The 20,461-nt window shown below is 45.8% G+C and overlaps 3 annotated features.

Annotated features, from left to right (window-relative positions):
* Window positions 5,115-5,615: an enhancer, noted in NCBI's record as "H3K27ac hESC enhancer chr17:30114922-30115422 (GRCh37/hg19 assembly coordinates)". NCBI's record gives its function as "activates a minimal SCP1, AML or CMV promoter by ChIP-STARR-seq in primed H9 embryonic stem cells {active_cell/tissue: H9 hESC(primed)}" and the evidence as "EXISTENCE:reporter gene assay evidence [ECO:0000049][PMID:30033119]".
* Window positions 18,120-18,313: a silencer, noted in NCBI's record as "fragment chr17:30127927-30128120 (GRCh37/hg19 assembly coordinates)". NCBI's record gives its function as "represses an EF-1alpha promoter that drives an FKBP-Casp9 reporter gene in an ReSE screen in K562 erythroleukemia cells {active_cell/tissue: K562}" and the evidence as "EXISTENCE:reporter gene assay evidence [ECO:0000049][PMID:32094911]".
* Window positions 19,822-20,116: an enhancer, noted in NCBI's record as "tiled region #4911; HepG2 Activating non-DNase unmatched - State 6:EnhF, and K562 Activating DNase matched - State 8:EnhW". NCBI's record gives its function as "activates a minimal TATA promoter and a strong SV40 promoter by Sharpr-MPRA in HepG2 and K562 cells {active_cell/tissue: HepG2 | K562}" and the evidence as "EXISTENCE:reporter gene assay evidence [ECO:0000049][PMID:27701403]".

Raw genomic sequence — 20,461 nt, forward strand, 5'->3', positions numbered from 1 at the left:
AGGCCATTACATAATGGTAAAGGGATCAATGTAACAAGAAGAGCTAACTATCCTAAATATATATGCACCCAATACAGGAGCACCCAGATTCATAAAGCAAGTCCTTAGAGACCTATGAAGAGACTTAGACTCCCACACAATAATAATGGGAGATTTTAACACCCCACTATCAACATTAGACAGATCAATGCGACAGAAAGTTAACAAGGATATCCGGGAATTGAACTCAGCTCAGCACCAAGAGGACCTAATAGGCATCTACAGAACTCTCCACCCCAAATCAACAGAATATACATTCTTTTCAGCACCACACCACATCTATTCCAAAATTGACCACATAGTTGGAAGTAAAGCACTCCTCAGCAAATGTAAAACAACAGAAATTATAACAAACCATCTCTCAGACCACAGTGCAATCAAACTAGAACTCAGGATTAAGAAGCTCACTCAAAACCACTCAACTACATGGAAACTGAGCAACCTGCTCCTGAATGACTACTGGGTACATAACGAAATGAAGGCAGAAATAAAGATATTCTTTGAAACCAATGAGATCAAACACACAACATACCAGAATCTCTGGGACACATTCAAAGCAGTGTGTAGGGGGAAATTTATAGCACTAAATGCCCACAAGAGAAAGCAGAAAAGATCTAAAATTGACACCCTAACATCATAATTAAAAGCACTAGAGAAGCAAGAGCAAACACATTCAAAAGCTAGCAGAAGGCAAGAAATAACTAAGATCAGAGCAGAACTGAAGGAAATAGAGACACAAAAAACCCTTCAAAAAATCAGTGAATCCAGGAGCTGGTTTTTCGAAAGGTCAACAAAATTGTTAGACTGCTAGCAAGACTAATAAAGAAGAAAAGAGAGAAGTATCAAATAGACGCAATAAAAAATGATAAAGGGGATATCACCACCGATCCCACAGAAATACAAACTACCATCAGAGAATACTATAAACACCTCTATGCAAATAAATTAGAAAATCTAGAAGAAATGGATAAATTCCTCGACACATAGACCCTTCCAAGACTAAACCAGGAAGAAGATGAATCTCTTAATAGACCAATAACAGGCTCTGAAATTAAAGCAATAATTAATAGGCTACCAACAAAAAAAAGTCCAGGACCAGATGGATTCACAGCCGTATTCTACCAAAGGTACAAGGAGGAGCTGGTACCATTCCTTCTGAAAATATTCCAATCAATAGAAAAAGAGGGAATCCTCCCTAACTCATTTTAAGAGGCCAGCATTATCCTGATACCAAAGCCTGGCAGAGACACAACAAAAAAAGAGAATTTTAGACCACTATCCCTGATGAACATCGATGCAAAAATCCTCAATAAAATACTGGCAAACCAAATCCAGCAGCACATCAAAAAGCTTATCCACCATGATCAAGTGGGCTTCATCCCTGGGATGCAAGGCTGGTTCAACATACACAAATCAATAAATGTAATCCAGCATATAAACAGAACCAAAGACAAAAACCACATGATTATCTCAGTAGATGCAGAAAAGGCCTTTGACAAAGTTCAACAACACTTCATGCTAAAAACTCTCAATAAATTAGGTATTGATGGGACGTATCTCAAAATAATAAGAGCTATCTATGACAAACCCACAGCCAATATCATACTGAATGGGCTAAAACTGGAAGCATTCCCTTTGAAAACTGGCACAAGACAGGGATGCCCTCTCTCACTTCTCCTATTCAACATAGTGTTGGAAGTTCTGGCCAGGGCAATCAGGCAGGAGAAGGAAATAAATTGTATTCAATTAGGAAAAGAGGAAGTTAAATTGCCCCTGTTTGCAGATGACATGATTGTATATCTGGAAAACCCCGTCGTCTCAGCCCCAAATCTCCTTAAGCTGATAAGCAACTTCAGCAAAGTCTCAGGATACAAAATCAACGTGCAAAAATCACAAGCATTCTTATACACCAATAACAGACAAACAGAGAGCCAAATCATGAGTGAACTCCCATTCACAATTGCTTCAAAGAGAATAAAATACCTAGGAATCCAACTTACAAGGGATGTGAAGGACCTCTTCAAGGAGAACTACAAACCACTGCTCAACGAAATAAAAGAGGATACAAACAAATGCAAGAACATTCCATGCTCATAGGTAGGAAGAATCAATATGGTGAAAATGACCATACTGCCCAAGGTAATTTATAGATTCAATGCCATCCCCATCAAGCTACCAATGACTTTCTTCACAGAATTGGAAAAAGCTACTTTAAAGTTCATATGGAACCAAAAAAGAGCCTGCATTGCCAAGTCAATCCTAAGCCAAAAGAACAAAGCTGGAGGCATCACGCTATCTGACTTCAAACTATACTACAAGGCTACAGTAACCAAAACAGCATGGTACTTGTACCAAAACAGAGATATAGACCAATGGAACAGAACAGAGCCCTCAGAAATAATTCCACATATCTACAACTATCTGATCTTTGACAAACCTGACAAAAACAAGAAATGGGGAAAGGATTCCCTATTTAATCAATGGTGCTGGGAAAACTGGCTAGCCATATGTAGAAAGCTGAAACTGGATCCCTTCCTTACATCTTATACAAAAATTAATTCAAGATAGATTAAAGACTTAAATGTTAGACCTAAAACCGTAAAAACCCTAGAAGAAAACCTAGGCAATACCATTCAGGACATAGGCATGTACAAGGACTTCATGTCTAAAACACCAAAAGCAATGGCAACAAAAGCCAAAATTGACACATGGGATCTAATTAAACTAAAGAGCTTCTGCACAGCAAAAGAAACTACCATCAGAGTGAACAGGCAACCTACAGAATGGGAGAAAATTTTTGCAATCTACTTATCTGACAAAGGGCTAATATCCAGAATCTACAATGAACTCAAACAAAGGTACAAGAAAAAAACAACCCATCACCAAGTGGGTGAAGGATATGAACAGACACTTCTCAAAAGAAGACATTTATGCAGCCAAAAGACACATGAAAATATGCTCATCATCACTGGCCATCAGAGAAATGCAAATCAAAACCACAATGAGATACCATCTCACACCACTTAGAATGGCGATCATTAAAAAGTCAGGAAACAACACGTGCTGGAGAGGATGTGGAGAAATAGGAACACTTTTACACGTTGGTGGGACTGTAAACTAGTTCAACCATTGTGGAAGACAGTGTGGCGACTCCTCAGGGATCTAGAACTAGAAATACCATTTGGCCCAGCCATCCCATTACTGGGCATATACCCAAAGGATTATAAACCATGCCGCTATAAAGACACATGCACACGTATGTTTATTGTGGCACTATTCACAATAGCAAAGACTTGGAACCAACCCAAATGTCCAACAATGATAGACTCGATTAAGAAAATGTGGCACATATACACCATGGAATACTATGCAGCCATAAAAAATGATGAGTTCATGTCCTTTGTAGGGACATGAATGAAGCTGGAAACCGTCATTCTCAGCAAACTGAGAAATGGACAAAAAACCAAACACCGCATATTCTCACTCATAGGTGGGAATTGAACAATGAGAACACATGGACACAGGAAGGGGAACATCACACACTGGGGCCTGTTGTGGGGTGGGGGGAGGGAGGAGGGATATCATTAGGAGATATACCTAATGTAAATGACGAGTTAATGGGTGCAGCACACCAACATGGCACATGTATACATATGTAACAAACCTGCACGTTGTGCACATGTACCCTGAAACTTAAAGTATAATTTAAAAAAAGGAAGTGAAGGACAATAAAAAAATAAAAAAATAATAATAAAAAAAGAAGTTGGGAAGAGGCAGGGACCCCTGACTGGTTTGGGAGACTCCAGGGCTTTGCCATCAGGGTTACAGCCTTCCACCAGGGTCAAGCTGTGGACACAATGATTGGTCTGTCCACAATACCTGAGTCTATGATCTGCCATCTGAACCCACTATACTATGAAATGGATTATTATTTCAAAGCATGAAGAAAATACAGGAGAGAAGTCATAGGGACCGAACATCCAATCCATTCCCCTGCCTCTAAGGAGGACTTCATCCAACCAACTCCAAGAAGCGCAAATCAATGGAGCAATGAAAATTGGACACAATTTTTAAACCATAAGCAGAGATCTCTTAAGACCCACCATGTCCTTTCAAATCCAAGTTCCCTTTTATTTCTTTCAGAGATGACTTGAGGCCTGTGTGACCCAATCACATCACTGGAAAACACCCTCATCTCCCCTGTGCTGCTCTGGAAGAGTCATCACCGGCCTGGACAGAGTCTCCACTGTGACATTTGGGAGTTTATTCTAGATATTTCTCATATTTGAAAATACAAAGCCCGTTGTTATCAAATTGGCCCAAGGCTTCCAAGACGAAGAAGCATTTAATCCTGGGGCTGCTTCTATAAATGTAACAATTATCCCAAGTCATGTAAGTGTCTTGGAGAAGTAATAGTAATAATGATGATGATGATGATGATGATGATGATGATGATGATGATGATGATAAGAGCCAATATTCATTGAGTGTGCCGGTCTCACAGTGTTTTACTTGTTTCAACTCCTTTGATCCTCCTAACTGCCTGGAGAGGCAAGAATTATTATCGCCCTCATTTTACCAAGATTGAAAGAGAAGCATCAAGAGATTTAGTAATTTCCCAAGGTACACACAATAGTAGGCAGAAGAGCCAGGATATGAAGCTACACAGTTTCAGGGTTTGAAGTCTTACGGAATTCAAGTTCAAATCCGGGTCTGCCACTTCACATACGCATGATCTAAAGAAAATGATTTCATGTCTTTGAGCTTCAGTTTCTCCCTAAAGAAAAAAAAAAGAAAAAAATCTCAGTTTATCCTAAAATGGGGGTGGCAATACCTACTTCTCTAGAAGTTGTTGAAAATTAAATAGAATACTCTGTAAATTTCTCAGCATGGGCCTGACACATAAAAGGGCATGGGTTCCCTTCCCTTCCCCTGTGTGGATGCAGGAAGTGAAGGCAGAGGCTGGGGAAGAGGGGGATTCTAAGGTCCTGGAACCCTAGAGAGGAAGCTTGCTGACTGCAGGAAATTTCAGACAAGGAGACAATTCTTGGGGTCTATTGAGATATGACAGGAACATTTCTAGAACAGGATCCCAGACGTCTCATACAATAGTAGTAAGAGGAATAGCCTAACCTTCATGCAGTTTACAGAGTACTTATATGTGCAGTAAGACTGTGATTGACACCATGGGTGCCTGAGGCAGGGCTCCTGTGTACAGTTGTGTAGGTTGCACACTGAAGCCGCCCAGATGGAGCCTACTTTTAGGGAGTGGTGGCATGGAGGGCTTGCCTGGTCACTTAAAGGAATCTTCGAGGGTCACAGGGGAATGAAACAGGGGGCTGAGCAAGTAGCAGTCAACATGCCCTTCCCAGTACAGGATAAGTGCTTGATAGATACTTGCTGAGTGATTAAATGATGGCTGGGGGAGTTGCCAGACTGGAGGCAGGGAATCGTGATTACAACAACTGAGGTGCAGGCTGGGCACTGGAATGCTTTCATCCTCTCCTTTTTGACTGCTGAGCACTTGCATCACTTCCAGTGTCTTGCTGTTGGAAACACTCAGCCTCACACGTTTTGCCCGGGCCTGTGCCTGGCTCCATCTGCCTCTGGCATTTCTCCCCACTTTCTGAGTCAGACTGGGGTGGGGAAAGGCTCCTTTAAAGGTGCCTAAGGAGAAGTGGCTGAGAAGCACTTCCTGGCACAGCCCTCGCCCTGGAATCAGAAAGGGCAGAGAAGACACAGCTCGTCTGCCCCAACTCCACCCCAGCTCAGGTCCAGGTTGCCTATGCATGTGAAACATCATCCTGCATGGAAAGCCACCTGATAAAAAGTGGTTCCAAGCAAAATTCATTTTTATTTGCCCACATCCACTTTAATACAAGTCATCACTCAGCATTCACACCCCACAGCCACCATCCATCTCGATGGATACCAGCTACCATCCTCCTAGAGCCACGGGCCAGAGCCAAAGCTCACTGCCCCAACATGCCCAAGTATCTCAATGTCACCTTTATGGCATTTAATCTATTTAACACTTATGAAGAACCAGAGGCTCCTAGGGCCTAATATTCAAACTAAATCTTGAACCCCAAATGAGAAAGAACCAGCCTCTCTGAACCCTGAAATGAAAATCTAAAGACAATTTTTTTCCTGAACCACGAACCAAAGCCAAATGTTCCCAAGAAATATCCAATGAACTATTTTGACCATGACTGTGAGCTTTGAAGTTAGTAAAACTGAGCCTCATTTCCCTATCTGTAGAATAAGGATAAAAGTGACCTCATAGAATGGTTTTGAAGGTTAAGATGAGCAACAGCTTATGGTCTCCAGATGGTCCCTGATACAGACTCAGCCCATCAGCATTCTTCTCCTAAAGCATTCCCCTTCTGTGTGGCAACCATTATTAGAGTGAGAGAAGGATGGCTTTGAATTTAAACACATCTCATGACCAGACACAGTGGCTCACGCCTGTAATCCCAACACTTTGAGAGGCCGAGGCGGGCAGATCACTTGAGTTCACAAGACCAGCTTGGGCAACATGGTAAAACCCCGTCGCTACTGAAAATACAAAAAATTAGCAGGCATGTTGGAGTAGGCCTGTAGTCCCAGCTACTAAGGAGGCCGAGGTAGGAGGATCACTTGAGCCGGGGAGGCAGAAGTTGCAGTGAGCTGAGATTATACCACTGCACTCCAGCCTGGGCAACAGAGCAAGACCCCATCTCAATAAATAAATAAACAAATAATAAATAAAAATACAAAAATTAGCTGGGTGTGGTGGTGCACACCTGTAATCCCAGCTACTTGGGAGGCTGAACCCACAGGCAGAGGTTGCAGTGAGCCCAGATCATGCCAATGCACTGCAGCCTGGGCAACAGAGTGAGACTCTGTCTCAAAAAATAAATAAGTAAATAAATAAAAATGAAAAGACACCTTGCTTCCTGGTTGCGTGACTCTTCCCTCCATTTGAACTCAGTTCTCACACATGGAAGGTGGGGTAATAAGAACCTTCACAGAGTCGTGTTCAGTACTTCCCTACCTTCATCAAGTAGCTTGCATTCCCCAGGGGCCATCTCCAATGTGCTCACAAACAAGCGGGGTAGTGTCTGGGTGGTGTTTGAAGGGATTTCCCCTCCTCTGGCTCCAGGGATTCCCCTGTGATGACACTGCACCTACAGAAATCCTGCCCCCTCCTCTGCCCACCTTACCAGTCTCTGACCAAGGGGGTCTGGTGGAGAGCACCACACCACTCCCCGCCTTTCTCTTATGGGGGTACCAACTCTACTCCGCTCATGCCCCCAACATCTTAAACAGTTTTAGAATTTGTCCTCACAGTTTTCACTCAAAATGAGACAAAGCCAAGGGACAAATCAGAGGGACAGTGGCCACACAGTACCCAGCATCACTCCTTGCTCCGCTTGCTAGGCCAAGCTGTCAAGGCTGGTTCCTGACACTTCCTTTAACGGGTTCACTGTGCAGAGATGCCCCACTAGTTCACCAGATGTGCTTGAACCCAACTCAGTGCGAGATGGGACCAGTGCTGTAACTCGTTACTTCCACCATCGTCAGTGAAACTTCCAAAGTCAGTGAACCGCAACACAGTAGGAAGACCTAAATGTTCCCTGAGCCGAACTTGAGCTGGTCTCTAGATGAGTGTGACATCTTCTTAGATGGAAGAAGGAAACTTAAAGTGTTTTAAAACAAATTTTATGTGTAAAAGTCATCAAAATTATAATACAATTAGAATATGAACATCTTAATAGAGATTTCATGATATTAGAGAATATGTTCATTTTTTGTAGGTGTGAAAATGGTATTGTGGTTTTGTTTGGTTTTGTTTGTTTCTTTGAGACAAGGTCTCACTCTGTTGTCCAGGCTGCACTCCAGCGCGATCATAGCTCACTGAAGCCTCAACCTCCCGAGCGCACGCAATCCTCCCTCCTCAGCCTCCTGAATAGTTAGGACTACAAGTGTGCGCCACCATGCCTGATTAGTTTTGTTCTTGTTTTTTGTAGAGACAGGGTCTTGCTATGTTGCCCATACTGGTCTCAAACTCCTGCCTCAGGTAGTCCTCCCACCTCTGCCTTCCCAAGTGTTGGAATTATAAGCATGAGCCACTGCACCTGGCCTATAATAAAAAGTTTTTATACCAGTTCTTTTAAGGTATCCACTAGATCTCAACTTCTGAAACCAGCCCTAAAACTGGACCTTTGAACTATACTGAGGCTAGCTCTTCTGTCAAAACTACTTGCCTGGCAGGCAAAAAAAAAAAACCATGCTATTCCCCCTCTCTACTCAAGAACCTTCCATGGCTCCCCATTGCCTTCACAATACAATATTTTTTGCCTCTCCTTTAAGACCTGCCACATTCCATCCCAGTGTAGCTTTCCACTGTTCTCTGCCTAGCCCCACTGAGAATGCCAAGCCAACGCAATATCAGACAGCATATGCCCCTCTGAAAAGGCCTGCATTTTCCCGTCTCTGATTCTGAGCCTTTGATCACCCTGTTCCTACCATCTAGAATTCTTTCCCTATTTTTTTTTTATTTATTTTTATTTTTAGACAGAGTCTTGCTCTATTGCCCAAGCTGGAGTGCAGTGGGAGTGATCTCGGCTCACTGCAACGTCCGCTTCCTGGGTTCAAGTGATTCTCCTGCCCAGCCTCCCAAGTAGCTGGGACTACAAGTGTATGCCACCATGCTTGGCTAATTTTTGTATTTTTAGTAGAGACCAGGTTTCGTCATCTTGGCCAGGCTGATCTCAAACTCCTGGCCTCAAGTGATCCACCCGCTTCAGCCTCTCAAAGTGTTGGGATTACAGGCGTGAGCCACTGTGCCCAGCCAAACTTTCTTAAATAATTCTTATATAGAAAAATGAAATAGAAGGACTTTCACTTCCAATCAAGGTGAAATAATAGAGACCAGATTTATACTCCTGACTGAAGCAACCAAAAAACAGACAAAATATATGAAACAAGAGTTTTCAGGGCATTGGACATGGTTAACAAAGGACAGTGATTCCTGAGTAGGGGGAAACAGACCAGGCAAGCCCCCCAGTTGTCCAGTTACAGCTCGGGTTTTCAGGCCACAACGCAGCAAAGGAAAGGCAGCTGGATCTCACAGGACAGAGTACCAGAGAGGAGAGAACTGTGCAGAGAGAGCTCCAGAAATGCTCAGTCTCTTGACTCTGTCCACTTCTCTCCATCCCCACTGTCACTACCTGATCCCAGACCACCATCATCTCTCATGAGGATGCCTGCAGCATCCCTTCCATCTAGTCACACTGCACAGATAAACTCATCCCTGAAGGCACTGCTCTACTTCCGGGAGCTCCCCATTGTCATCGGGATAAAGTACAGACTCCCCACTTCGGCTTTTAAGGCCTTTTATGATCTGGCCCTGCCTGTTTTTTCCAGTTCTCTTTTATCCCTCCCCAACGTCACATTTCACATAGAGTCAATACTTGCTATTTCTGAGTTCTCCATACTCACTCTTGCCTCTAGGCTTTTGCACATGTAGTTTCCTCTACTTATGTTTCCATCTCTTTCCTCCACTCCTTTGTGGTATCTCCTTGCGGCCACTTCCTCTGAGAGGAAGTCTCCCTAACCCCACAAGACTGCACCAGATACCCCTCCTGGGGGCTCCCGTAACTCTGTGTCCCTCCTTCTAACACTGCCTGAGAAATGTATGTCTATCCATCTTCTGCCATAGGCAGTGAGCTCCCTGAGAGCAAGGACTTGATGATATTCCCTGCTGGGTTCCCAGCACCTAGCACATAGTAAGCACTCAATAAACACTTATCAAATTATCGACTGCCTCGATGGTCACATGCTATCTTACAGCAGTCAGCACATGATCCGTCTGCCTCCAAAACCCATGTCCTTTTATTCCTCTGGAACACACAGGAGGGGCTGGGGAGAAGGCTATGGACTGACAGTCTTTGGAAGTTTACCTTCAAGCCTACCCTAATTGTGTGTGTGTGTGTGTGTGCACATTTAGGCAACCTCTACTTCCATTCCCCTAATGCATGGTTTCCAACCATGGCTGCTCTTTGGAATCATCCGGGAAGCTTTAAAAAACACTGATGCCTGGGTCTCACCCCCAGAGGTCCTTATTGGATGGTCTGGACTGTGGCCTGGGCCCCCCCACCAGGTGCTTCTACTCATCCGGCAAGGCTGAGAAACGCTGCCTTGAGAGTTATGATCCCTTTTCAGCATGGCTCCTATTCACCCTTCAAGACCCAGGACAAATGTCACTCCTTGGAGAAGACTTCCCAAGACACTCACGCACATCCCAGAATTAATTCCTCACTTCTCTGTTCTCCTTTAGTGTTTTAGGCGTATCTCTAGAATGGCAGCTTTTACACTTTAACACCTGGTGCAGTGTCCAGAACATAGAAGGCACTGACAGAGATTTGTTGAATGAACAAACACACGAATGAGCGGATTCCTAAATCTGACATTCCGGCTGTGGTCCCAAAGCCCACACAGAGGCTGGACATCAGCATGCAGTAAGTGACAGTCCCGCAGAAGGAGGGAGGGAGACTGATGTTCCCTCTAAACCAGCTGGAAGGATGCTGCACTCAGAGGAAGAACAGCCAGACACAAGGTAATTGTCGCTCCCCCAGAAATTATGGTAACAAAGTCAAAGAGATGCATGATCATTAAACAAAGTTTTCTCCTTGGCATTTTTACCAATTGACTGATGGATCAGTTACAAAAACACTGAATACATAATGAAATGATGGCCTGGAGAGGGCCTCTGGTGGGGAGGCCTCTTGTAGCCATTTTTAAGAGCAGAAGTGCAGGTTTATTGAATCTGGCGGTTGTGCTAAATTCTGACTCTTAAAACCAAGGCTGTTAAAAAGGCTGTCCCCCACATGCACACGTATGTTTATTGCGGCATTATTCACAATAGCAAAGACTCGGAACCAACCCAAATGTCCAACAATGATAGACTGGATTAAGAAAATTTGGCACATATACACCATGGAATACTATGCAGCCATAAAAAAGGATGAGTTCATGTCCTTTGTAGCGACATGGATGAAATTGGAAATCATCATTCTCAGTAAACTATCGCAAGAACAAAAACCAAACACCGCATATTCTCACTCATAGGTGGGAATTGAACAATGAGATCACATGGACACAGGAAGGGGAATATCACACTCTGGGGACTGTGGTGGGGTGGGGGGAGGGGGGAGGGATAGCATCGGGAGATATACCTAATGCTAGATGACGAGTTAGTGGGTGCAGCGCACCAGCATGGCACATGTATACATATGTAACTAACCTGCACAATGTGCACATGTACCCTAAAACTTAAAGTATAATAATAAAAAAAAAATAGTTACAGCTTAAAAAAAAAAAAAAAAAAAAAAAAGGCTGTCCCCGCCTGTCATCAGAGGTTTACAAACGCTTCAACTGCGGCTGCTTCTGCACCATCCAACTTACCTTCCACATGCACCCATGCTCCGAGGACCTCACCCTGGCCACCTGTCAGAGACACCCAGGAAGCTTTTCAAAGAGAATAAGGCTGGGCCTCTCCACTCTGCCCTCCCACCCCCGCCAGGTAGGTTCTAATTTAATTGGTCTAGGTGGAGCCTTGGGTATTGGGAGTTTAAAAGCACTCCCAGGTGGCTCTAATGTACAGCTAGCTGTGAGGAACACTGATCCACAGCACATGACTTGAGGGGTGCTGGGGATCCACCTGGGCTACAATGCCCACCAGCCTGCCAGAAGGGCCAAAGTCCTAGGCGCTTGCAGTAGTCCTCAGCCCTGAGCACATACCAGAATTATCTGGGGAGCTTGCGAGGAAAACAGATACTGGGACCCCACCTCAGGCCATTTTACAGCTCCTCAGGACCCTAATGAGCAGCCAGGCTTGAAACCCACTGGGCTGAAGCAATGCGCCCCCCAACCAGTGTGATGGAGAGCCCATTAAACACAACGCCTCCTGCTCTGAAGACTCGGCAATAGGTTTGAGTGGATTTCAGGACCTTTATTTTTTTTTAGTGATGGGGTCTTGCTATGTTACCCAGGCTGGCGTGCAGTGGCATAATCACAGTTCACCGCAGCCTTGAACTCCTAGGTTCAAACGATCCTCTCACTTCAGCCTCCTGAGTAGCTGGGATTACAGGTGCATGCCACCATGTTCTGCTCATTTCAAGGACTGGGTTTTTGTGGGGTTTTTTTTTTTTTTTTGGCTTTTTTGAGACAGGGTCTCACTCTGTCACTCAGGCTGGAGTGCAGTAGCACAGTTGTGGCTCACTGTAGCCTTGACTGCCCGAGATCAGGCGATCCTCCCACCTCAGCCTCCCAAGTGGCTGAGACCACAGGGGCACACCACCGTGCCTGGCTATTTTTAGTATTATTATTTGTAGAGATGGGGTCTCCCTATGTTGTCCAAGCTGGTCTTGAATGCCTAGGCTCAAATGATCCTCCCACCTCAGCTTCCCAATGTGCTAGGATGACAGGCATGAACCACCGTGCCTGGCAAGAGTATGTTTTTGTTTTGTTTTGTTTTTTGAGATGGAGTTTCACTCTCGTTGCCCAGGCTGGAGTGCAGCGGCATGATCTCAGCTCACCGCAACCTCCACCTCCCAGGTTCAAGTGATTCTCCTGCCTCAGCCTCCTGAGTAGCTGGGACTACAGACGCATGACACCACGCCTGGCTGATTTTTGTATTTTTAGTAGAGATGGAAGGTTTCTCCATGTTGGTCAGGCTGGTCTTGAACTCCCAACCTCAGGTGATCCACCCGCCTCGGCCTCCCAAAGTGCTGGGATTGCAGGCGTGAGCCACCGCACCAGGCCCAAGAGTATCTATTTTTAATAAGCACCCAGGTCATGCTTACCTTCCTGCTAGCAGCAGTCACCCAAACTTGCCCGATCATAAGGACTTTCTAGGACATGTGTTCAACAGATTCTGGATCCCACCCCAGACCCACTGAATCTGAATCTGCATGAAAGAGACCCAAGAACCCCATAGGTAACAAGCTCCACAGTTGACTATAGGACAAGGCATGTATGGGAAAATTGAGCAAAAATATTGTGAAACCTGGGAGGCCATCTAAAATTAACCAGGAGAGGCCGGGCATGGTGGCTTGCACCTGTAATCCCAGCACTTTGGGAGGCTGAGGCTGTCGCTTACTTGACATCAGGAGTTCAAGACCATCCTGGCCAACATGGTGAAACTCTATCTCTACCAAAAACACAAAAATTAGCCAGGCGTGGTGGCGCATGCCTGTAGTCCCAGCTACTTGGGAGGCTGAGGCTGGAGAATGGCTTGAACCTGGGAGGCAGGGTTTGCAGTGAGCCATGATCGCCCCATTGCACTCCAGCCTGGGCGACAGAGCGAGACTCCATGATAAGTAAGTAAGTAAATAAATAAATAAATAAATAAACAAAATTCACCAGAAGAAAAATGAGTTATGATTATTCTCCACCCTTAAAGAATTAAAGAGTTCATTCCGTCAGTCACTTAGTTGGTCAACAAACATTTTCTGCACATCTATTCCACAGCAAGGATCGCTAATACCTGGGATACAGGTTGGTGAGACACAAGTCTGCATTTTCCAACTACATGGGCTGGTCCACCTCACCATGCAGACAATCTCCAGTTCCTCCCCAAGAATCCCTGGGCCCACAAATCTGCTCATCTTTCAAGACCTTGCTCTGACCTGACTGTGCTAAAAGGCAGCACCAACCTCTGCCCTTTGTTCCTCATTGTCCCTGGACATGCAGCTGCTGGCCCATTTATAATAATGCTGGCAAGTACTTGTTCTTCTAGTGGGAGCTGTCCCCGAAGTCTGGGACTGTGGTTCGTTTATCTTTGCAACCCTGGTCGCTTGCACCTGGTAGGCCCTCAATGGAGGCTTACGGTTTATCAGGACAGAAAGACACGTAAACAGATACACACAGTGAAAAGTGCCATAATAGAGGTCAGTGTTGACAATGAACATGCAGGCATTGGGGTCAGACACTGTGCTTGACCCTACAGGGCCCTATAGGGCTGAGACAAGGATCAAGCATGATCCCGTCCCGGGTTACATCCTCCAGTCTAGGAGGAGAGGTGGAGAGCAACAACCACAATACAAGGCCAAAGAGGGGAAGGGAGTGGATGCCAGGGAAGCAGAAACAAGGCATCCCCTAAAGGGCACATAACTCTGGTTATTAATCAGGGGCTGCTTCAAGGAGAAGTAATGTCTGAACTTGGACTTAAAGGGGGGATGTGTATGTTTGAATGAGCAGACATGGGATAGAAAGACATCCCAGGAGAAGGCAATGGTGTGAGCAAAGGTAGGAGACAGAAGGGCAAAAAGCATGTCTGGGAGGGTCCAAAGCTAGGAGATGGCGTGGCCCAGAGCCCAGGAGCAGAGTGAGTCTGGAGAGTCCCAGGCAGGAGTGTAAAAGGACCCTGGTCTTCCTTTGTCTTCATGGCTCCCCCAAGTGACCACCAGAAGACTGTTGGCCCCCTTTGACTGTTATTTCCACATTTTCTGGATTTTTTTTTTTTTTTTTTTTTTTGAGATGAAGTCTCACTCTGTTGCCCAGGCTGGAGTGCAGTAGCACAATCTCGGCTCACTGCAACCTCCACCTCCCAGGTTCAAGTGATTCTCGTGCCTCAGACTCCCGAGTAGCTGGGACTACAGGCACGCATTACCATGCCCAGCTAATTTTTTTGTTGGTTTGTTTTTTGTTTTTGAGATGGAATTTCACTCTTGTTGCCCAGGCTGGAGTGAAATGGCACGACCTCGGCCCAGCGCAACCTCCACCTCCCGGGTTCAAGCAATTCTCCTGCCTCAGCCTCCCGAGTAGCTGGGATTACAGGCATGCGCCACCACGCCTGGCTAATTTTTGTATTTTTAGTAGAGACAGGGTTTCTCCATGTTGGTCAGGCTGGTCTCGAACTCCCGACCTCAGGTGATCTTCCCGCCTCAGCCTCCCAAAGTGCTGGGATTACAGGCATGAGCCACCGTGCCCGGCCACGGCTAACTTTTGTAATTTTAGTAGAGACAACGTTTCAGCATTTTGGCCAGGCTGATCTCGGACTCCTGACCGCAAGTGATCCACCCCCATCGGCCTACCAAAGTGCTGCGATTACAGGCATGAGCCACCACGACTGGCCCGATTTATATTTCTTAATTCAATTTCCTTGATTCACACATTCCCAGTATTTACAACATTTCCCCTGGGCCTCAGGAATTCATCACATGAAAGTTGAGTTATCTGTGCTGAACAGCAGCTTGACATAGCTACATACACAAGGTCAAGAGGTGGCTAACTAGAGTCTCATTGGGGACGCTGGATCCTGCATTTGTTTCTTTACGGGATTAGTTCAAAATAGATCACAGGTTCCTTCAAGTAAGGGGGCTGCCACTTTTTCCTGGCCTTCTCTCCCAGTCCCACGGGCTGAGGTCAATGTCTCGTATCCTGAACAAGAGCTCTATGAGCCCCAGGTGACCTGAGTCCAGCTCCCTGGGGTCCTGGATGGAGTCTAGTGGAGACAGACTAGGGGGGCAGGGCACGAACCTATTGGACAGTCCTGGGCCCAGGAGAACCTGGGAGAAGGAGCCAGAAGTCTGTTCTTGGAATCCCCAGCCAAGGGAGAGGGAGGCAGGAACAATAACCAGGCCATAGGGCAGTGGTCAGAGGTCTGGGAGTAGCTAATGATCACAGCCACGAAAAGAACAAAAATGTAAACAGGCAAGAGCAGGGTTCAGGGGTCGTCATCAAGTAAAGATAAGATACAGGCCATGTGCGGTGGTTCATGCCTTTAATCCCAGGACTTTGGGAGGCTGAGGCGGGTGGATCGCTTGAGGTCAGGGAGTTCGAGACCAGCCTGACCAACATGGTGAAACTCTGTCTCTACTAAAAATACAAAAAATTAGCCGGGTGTGGTGGCGGGAGCCTGTAATCAATCCCAGCTACTTGGGAGGCTGAGGCAGGAGAGTTACTTGAACCCAGGAGGCGGAGGTCGCAGTGAGCCAAGATTGCACCACTGCACTCCAGCCTGGGTGACAGTGCGAGACTCCATCTCAAAAAAAAAAAAAAAGAGAAAAGGGATTTAGAAAAAAAAAAAAATACAAGCTGGGCGTCCACCAGGGGACTCCTTCAACAGGGACTAGAGACTTGGATTCCCCTCAAAGGCAAGGACCAGGTCTCAAACTTTAAGTCCTAAGCATGTGGTGACTGCCTGTGACCCTCCGGAGAGCTGGCTGGCAACTGGCTGGCCAGGCTTATGCCCTCTTTATAGCAGCACTGTCCAGAAGAAATATAGTACAAGCCACTCCATAAGTGTAAATGTTCTAGTAGCCACAGTAAAAAAAGTAAAAAGAATCAGGTGAAACGGATTTTAAAGATATATTTATTTAACTCAGTGTATCCAAAATATTATTTCAGTGTGTAATCACTATAAAAACTAATAAGATTTTTGCTTTTTTTAACCTAAGTCTTTATGTATTTTGCACTCACAGTGTATTGCAATTCAGACAAGCCACAAGTCAAGTGCACAGTAGCTGCGTATGGCTGATATTCCTGTGCTGGATGGCACAGCTTCAGAATGTCTGATTTGGGATCTGTCTTGCAGATGCGAGAGATGAATATCCTTCTCATCCATGGCCAAAGTGGACGCAATTTCTATGGCTGGCAAGAATAGTGTCCCCTTCTGTCCTCATCACCACTTCATGTCCCTCCTGAAGCCACACACCTGATGGAGATATCCTCCCAGATAAAGAATGGGTGCAAATGTAGTGTGCTCCCTTCTAGATTCTCTAAACCAGTCCAGTCCACAAGGCCCATTTGCAGGCACATGCATATTAGGTCTTAGGACCTGCACAAGCCAGGCATGGTGGCTTATGCCTGTAATCCCAGCACTTTGAGGTCAGGAGTTCGAGACCAGCCTGGCCAACATGGTGAAATCCCGTCTCTACTAAAATTACAAAAAAATTTAGCTGGGTGTGGTGGGGGTGGGGGGTGCCTGTAATCCCAGCTACGTAGGAGGCTGAAGCAGGAGAATCATTTGAACCCGGGAGGTGGAGGTTGCAGTGAGCTGAGATCACATCAGTGCACTCCAGCCTGGGCAACAGAGCAAGACTCCATAAAAAAAAATTTTTTTTAATACTTGCATGGTATTTATTAATACTAGGGGAAAGGCTTTTGCAAAGACAGCTGAAGGGGAAGACATATTGGTGCACTAGGGCTGCCATAACAAAGTACATCAGATTAGGTGGTTTCAACAACAGAAATTTATTTTCTCACAATTCTGGAGTCTGGAAGTCTGAGATCAAGGTGCCAGCAGGGTTGGTTTCTTCTGGGGCCTCCCCTCTTGGCTTGCAGATGGCCATCTTCTTCCTCTGTCTTCATGTGGTCTTTCCTCTGTTTATCTGTGTCCTAATCTCCTCTTCTTATAAGGACACTAATCACGCTTGTTTAGGGTCCACCCTGATGGCAGCATTTCAACTTAATTACCTCTTTAAAGACCCTAACTCGAAATATAGTGACATTTTGAGGTTCTGGGGGTTGGGACTTCAACATATGGATTTGAGAAGGACACAATTTGGTCCATAACAGAAGAAAAGCATGGGACACTCTGAGATTAAACACTAAGGCTGTGCACAGTGGCTCATGCCTGTAATCCCAACACTTTGGGAGGCCAAAGTAGGAGGATTGCTTGAGCCCAGGAGTTCAAGACCAGCCTGGGAAACATAGTGAGACCCCCATCTCTGCAAAAAATAAAAAATTAGCCAGGTGTGGTGGTATACTCCTATAGTCCCAGCTACTTGAAAGTCTGAGGTAGGAGGATCATTTGAGCCTGGGAGGTCGAGGCTGCAGTGAGCTATGATTGCGCCATTGCACTCCAGCCTGGGCAACAGAGCAAGATCCTGTCTCAAAAAAACAAACAAACAAACAAAAACCACACTAACTAAAAGCTCCTCCCAAGATCCTTCAGACCTCAATAGGTCTAGGAGTGAGAAAGAGCCTATATTTTCAAAGCTTCAAGCAGGCCTCTCTTTTACAAGTGTTGAATTAACCCCTGGGAGAAGATAGCCTTTTATTTTAGGAAAAATCCACTCTGTGTGACTCTTTCTTGTGAAGATGTAAAGCAAATGTTCCTGTAGCTATGGAGATAGTGGAGACAGCTGGGCTCCTGGGAACCAAATGAGTCCACAAGGTGCCAGGGAAGGTTATCTGTGTAAGTAGAAAATGCTTCTTGGAGTAGGCATGGCTTTGGACTGTCCTGTGCTAGAAAACAATTTCTTCCACTTAGGAAAATGTATAGTCTTACGTAGGTAACACCCACAGGAGATGAGAATCTGAGGCAGGCCTAGTTTTTACCAAGAGCTGGAGAAGAGCCTATAGAAAGAACCTGAGCCACACTTCAGTGCAGTGCTGCCCAGACCGCACCATTAACGTCCCCAAGATGCTATTCAAGATGAGGCCGCTGAGACTGAGGCTGGATCACTGAGTCTTGAGGTATAATCATGTTGTGCTTTGAGTGCAAAAACACACCAAGGAGGGTGTGTTCCCATACGGGGAGTAGACATTCCCACTCTCGATCATCCTGGGAAGAAGTCGTCCCAGAATATACAAGACTGGGGCTGCAAGTTTTCACCTAAAAGGGAAAGAAACTCATCTCCTCCATTTATCTGCAGAAGTGGGAGAGAGACCAACTGGGCAGAGGTCAGCTGGGCTCTATGACATGCCCACTGACATATTCTGTTTAGGATGGCAGGGGTGGCAAGTGACAACCAGGACGGAACAGCTGAACACATAAGCATCCTCTAGAGAATCCCAGAAATACTCAGAGAGGAGAGGAGAAACAAGATGAGGCTTAAAGGGCAATATGAATATTAAATAAGCTTTTTCAGTAGCTACTAGCTGAGGCTTGGATCTGTTTGCCCACTTCCACTAGGCTATGAGTTCTGAAGGCCAAACCTGTTACTCATATTTGTGTCTCCAGAATGATCCTAGCAGAAAAAAGGGGCTCAATAATCATGTGATGCATGAACCTGGAAACCAAGCCCACTCCTGCAGAGGGAAAGCTGAGGCACAAGGGTATTCGGGACCTCACGGATCAGAAAGGAACTCTGGGGAATCTTGAATGATGTTTTTTCTCGGTACCTCCCAACAGAAAGAGAAAAACCTGCCTCCCATCCTCCAATGTGCCTCTCAACAGAGAAACAATATTGAAAAGCCAGCAGAAAGCTTTAACAGAAAAGAAAAGCGAGTGGCTCATGGTAAGCCTTGTGTCCACGCAAACATTCTGTGGATGAAGAAGAAAATAACCAGGAGCCAACATCCACACAGGCCAGGCACCAGGGCTCCCTTCTCCTGGCACCAGTTTCTGAAAATGACTTCTCTCCCAAGGACCCCAAAAATAAGGGGGAGCTAATTGCATCCCAGAGCCCTCCCCATCTGGACTGAAGTCAAGGAGAGACAAGGAAAGAGCTGGGGCTTGACAAGTTCATTAGAAGAGGGCTCAAGAGCAATGTGGCTCTGCCAACAGCATCCAACAGCAGGAGGATCTAAACAAACCTGGTTTCTCTGTTCTCAGCAGTCCTTCTGATGAAAAGGACTGGCATGGTTTTACTGCCTAGCTGGTTAAGCAAAAAAAGAAATGTATTTAAGAGCAGACTGGAGATGAAACATTCAGAGAGTAACACCCATGGTTTGATAAGGAAACTGTCACTGAAGGCAAGTCCTAAGTGCCAGAAACCTGGTCCTGCTGCAATCACTACTGTAGCCAGCACTGATTTCATGTCAGCACCAGGAACATGAACTTGCTACCACCGGCAGTCACCACCAAAAGCTGGGCACCCTTGTTGCCATCCACACCAGCAAACATGGCTGCTCCAGCCACAGCCTGTTTCTCCCTGGGGCTCCCACTTGAACCAGTGTCAGTATGGACGCATCTGATTGGTGGAGCCTGGCCCAGGTCTATGTCCCAGACCCAGGGCAGGCTGGGAACTTGAGTTCTGACTTCCTCATAAGACATAAGAGGAACTTCCCTGGAAACAGAAAGACAATTCAAAAGGGCATTTCAAGGTTAAGAAAAGTTCATGGTGGTGATGGTAGCAAAACAGTGTGACTGTATGTAATACCACTTCAAAATGGTTAAGAAAGGTCAGGCATGGTGGCTCACTCCTGAAATCCCAGCACTTTGGGAGGCTGAGGCAGGAGGATCCCGCTTGAGCCCAGGAATTCGAGATCAGCCTGGGCAACATGGTGACCCCTGTCTCTACAAAAAATTAGGCTGGGCGCGGTGGCTTATGCCTGTAATCCCAGCACTTTGTGAGGCCAATGCGGGTGGATCACCTGAGGTCAGGACTTCAAGACCAGTCTGGCCAACATGGTGAAACCCTGTCTCTACTAAAAATACGAAAAATTAGCCAGGCGTGGCGGGGTGCGGTGGCTCATGCCTGTA

This window comes from Homo sapiens, chromosome 17, assembly GCF_000001405.40.
Source record: "Homo sapiens chromosome 17, GRCh38.p14 Primary Assembly".
Classification (NCBI taxonomy): domain Eukaryota; kingdom Metazoa; phylum Chordata; class Mammalia; order Primates; family Hominidae; genus Homo; species Homo sapiens.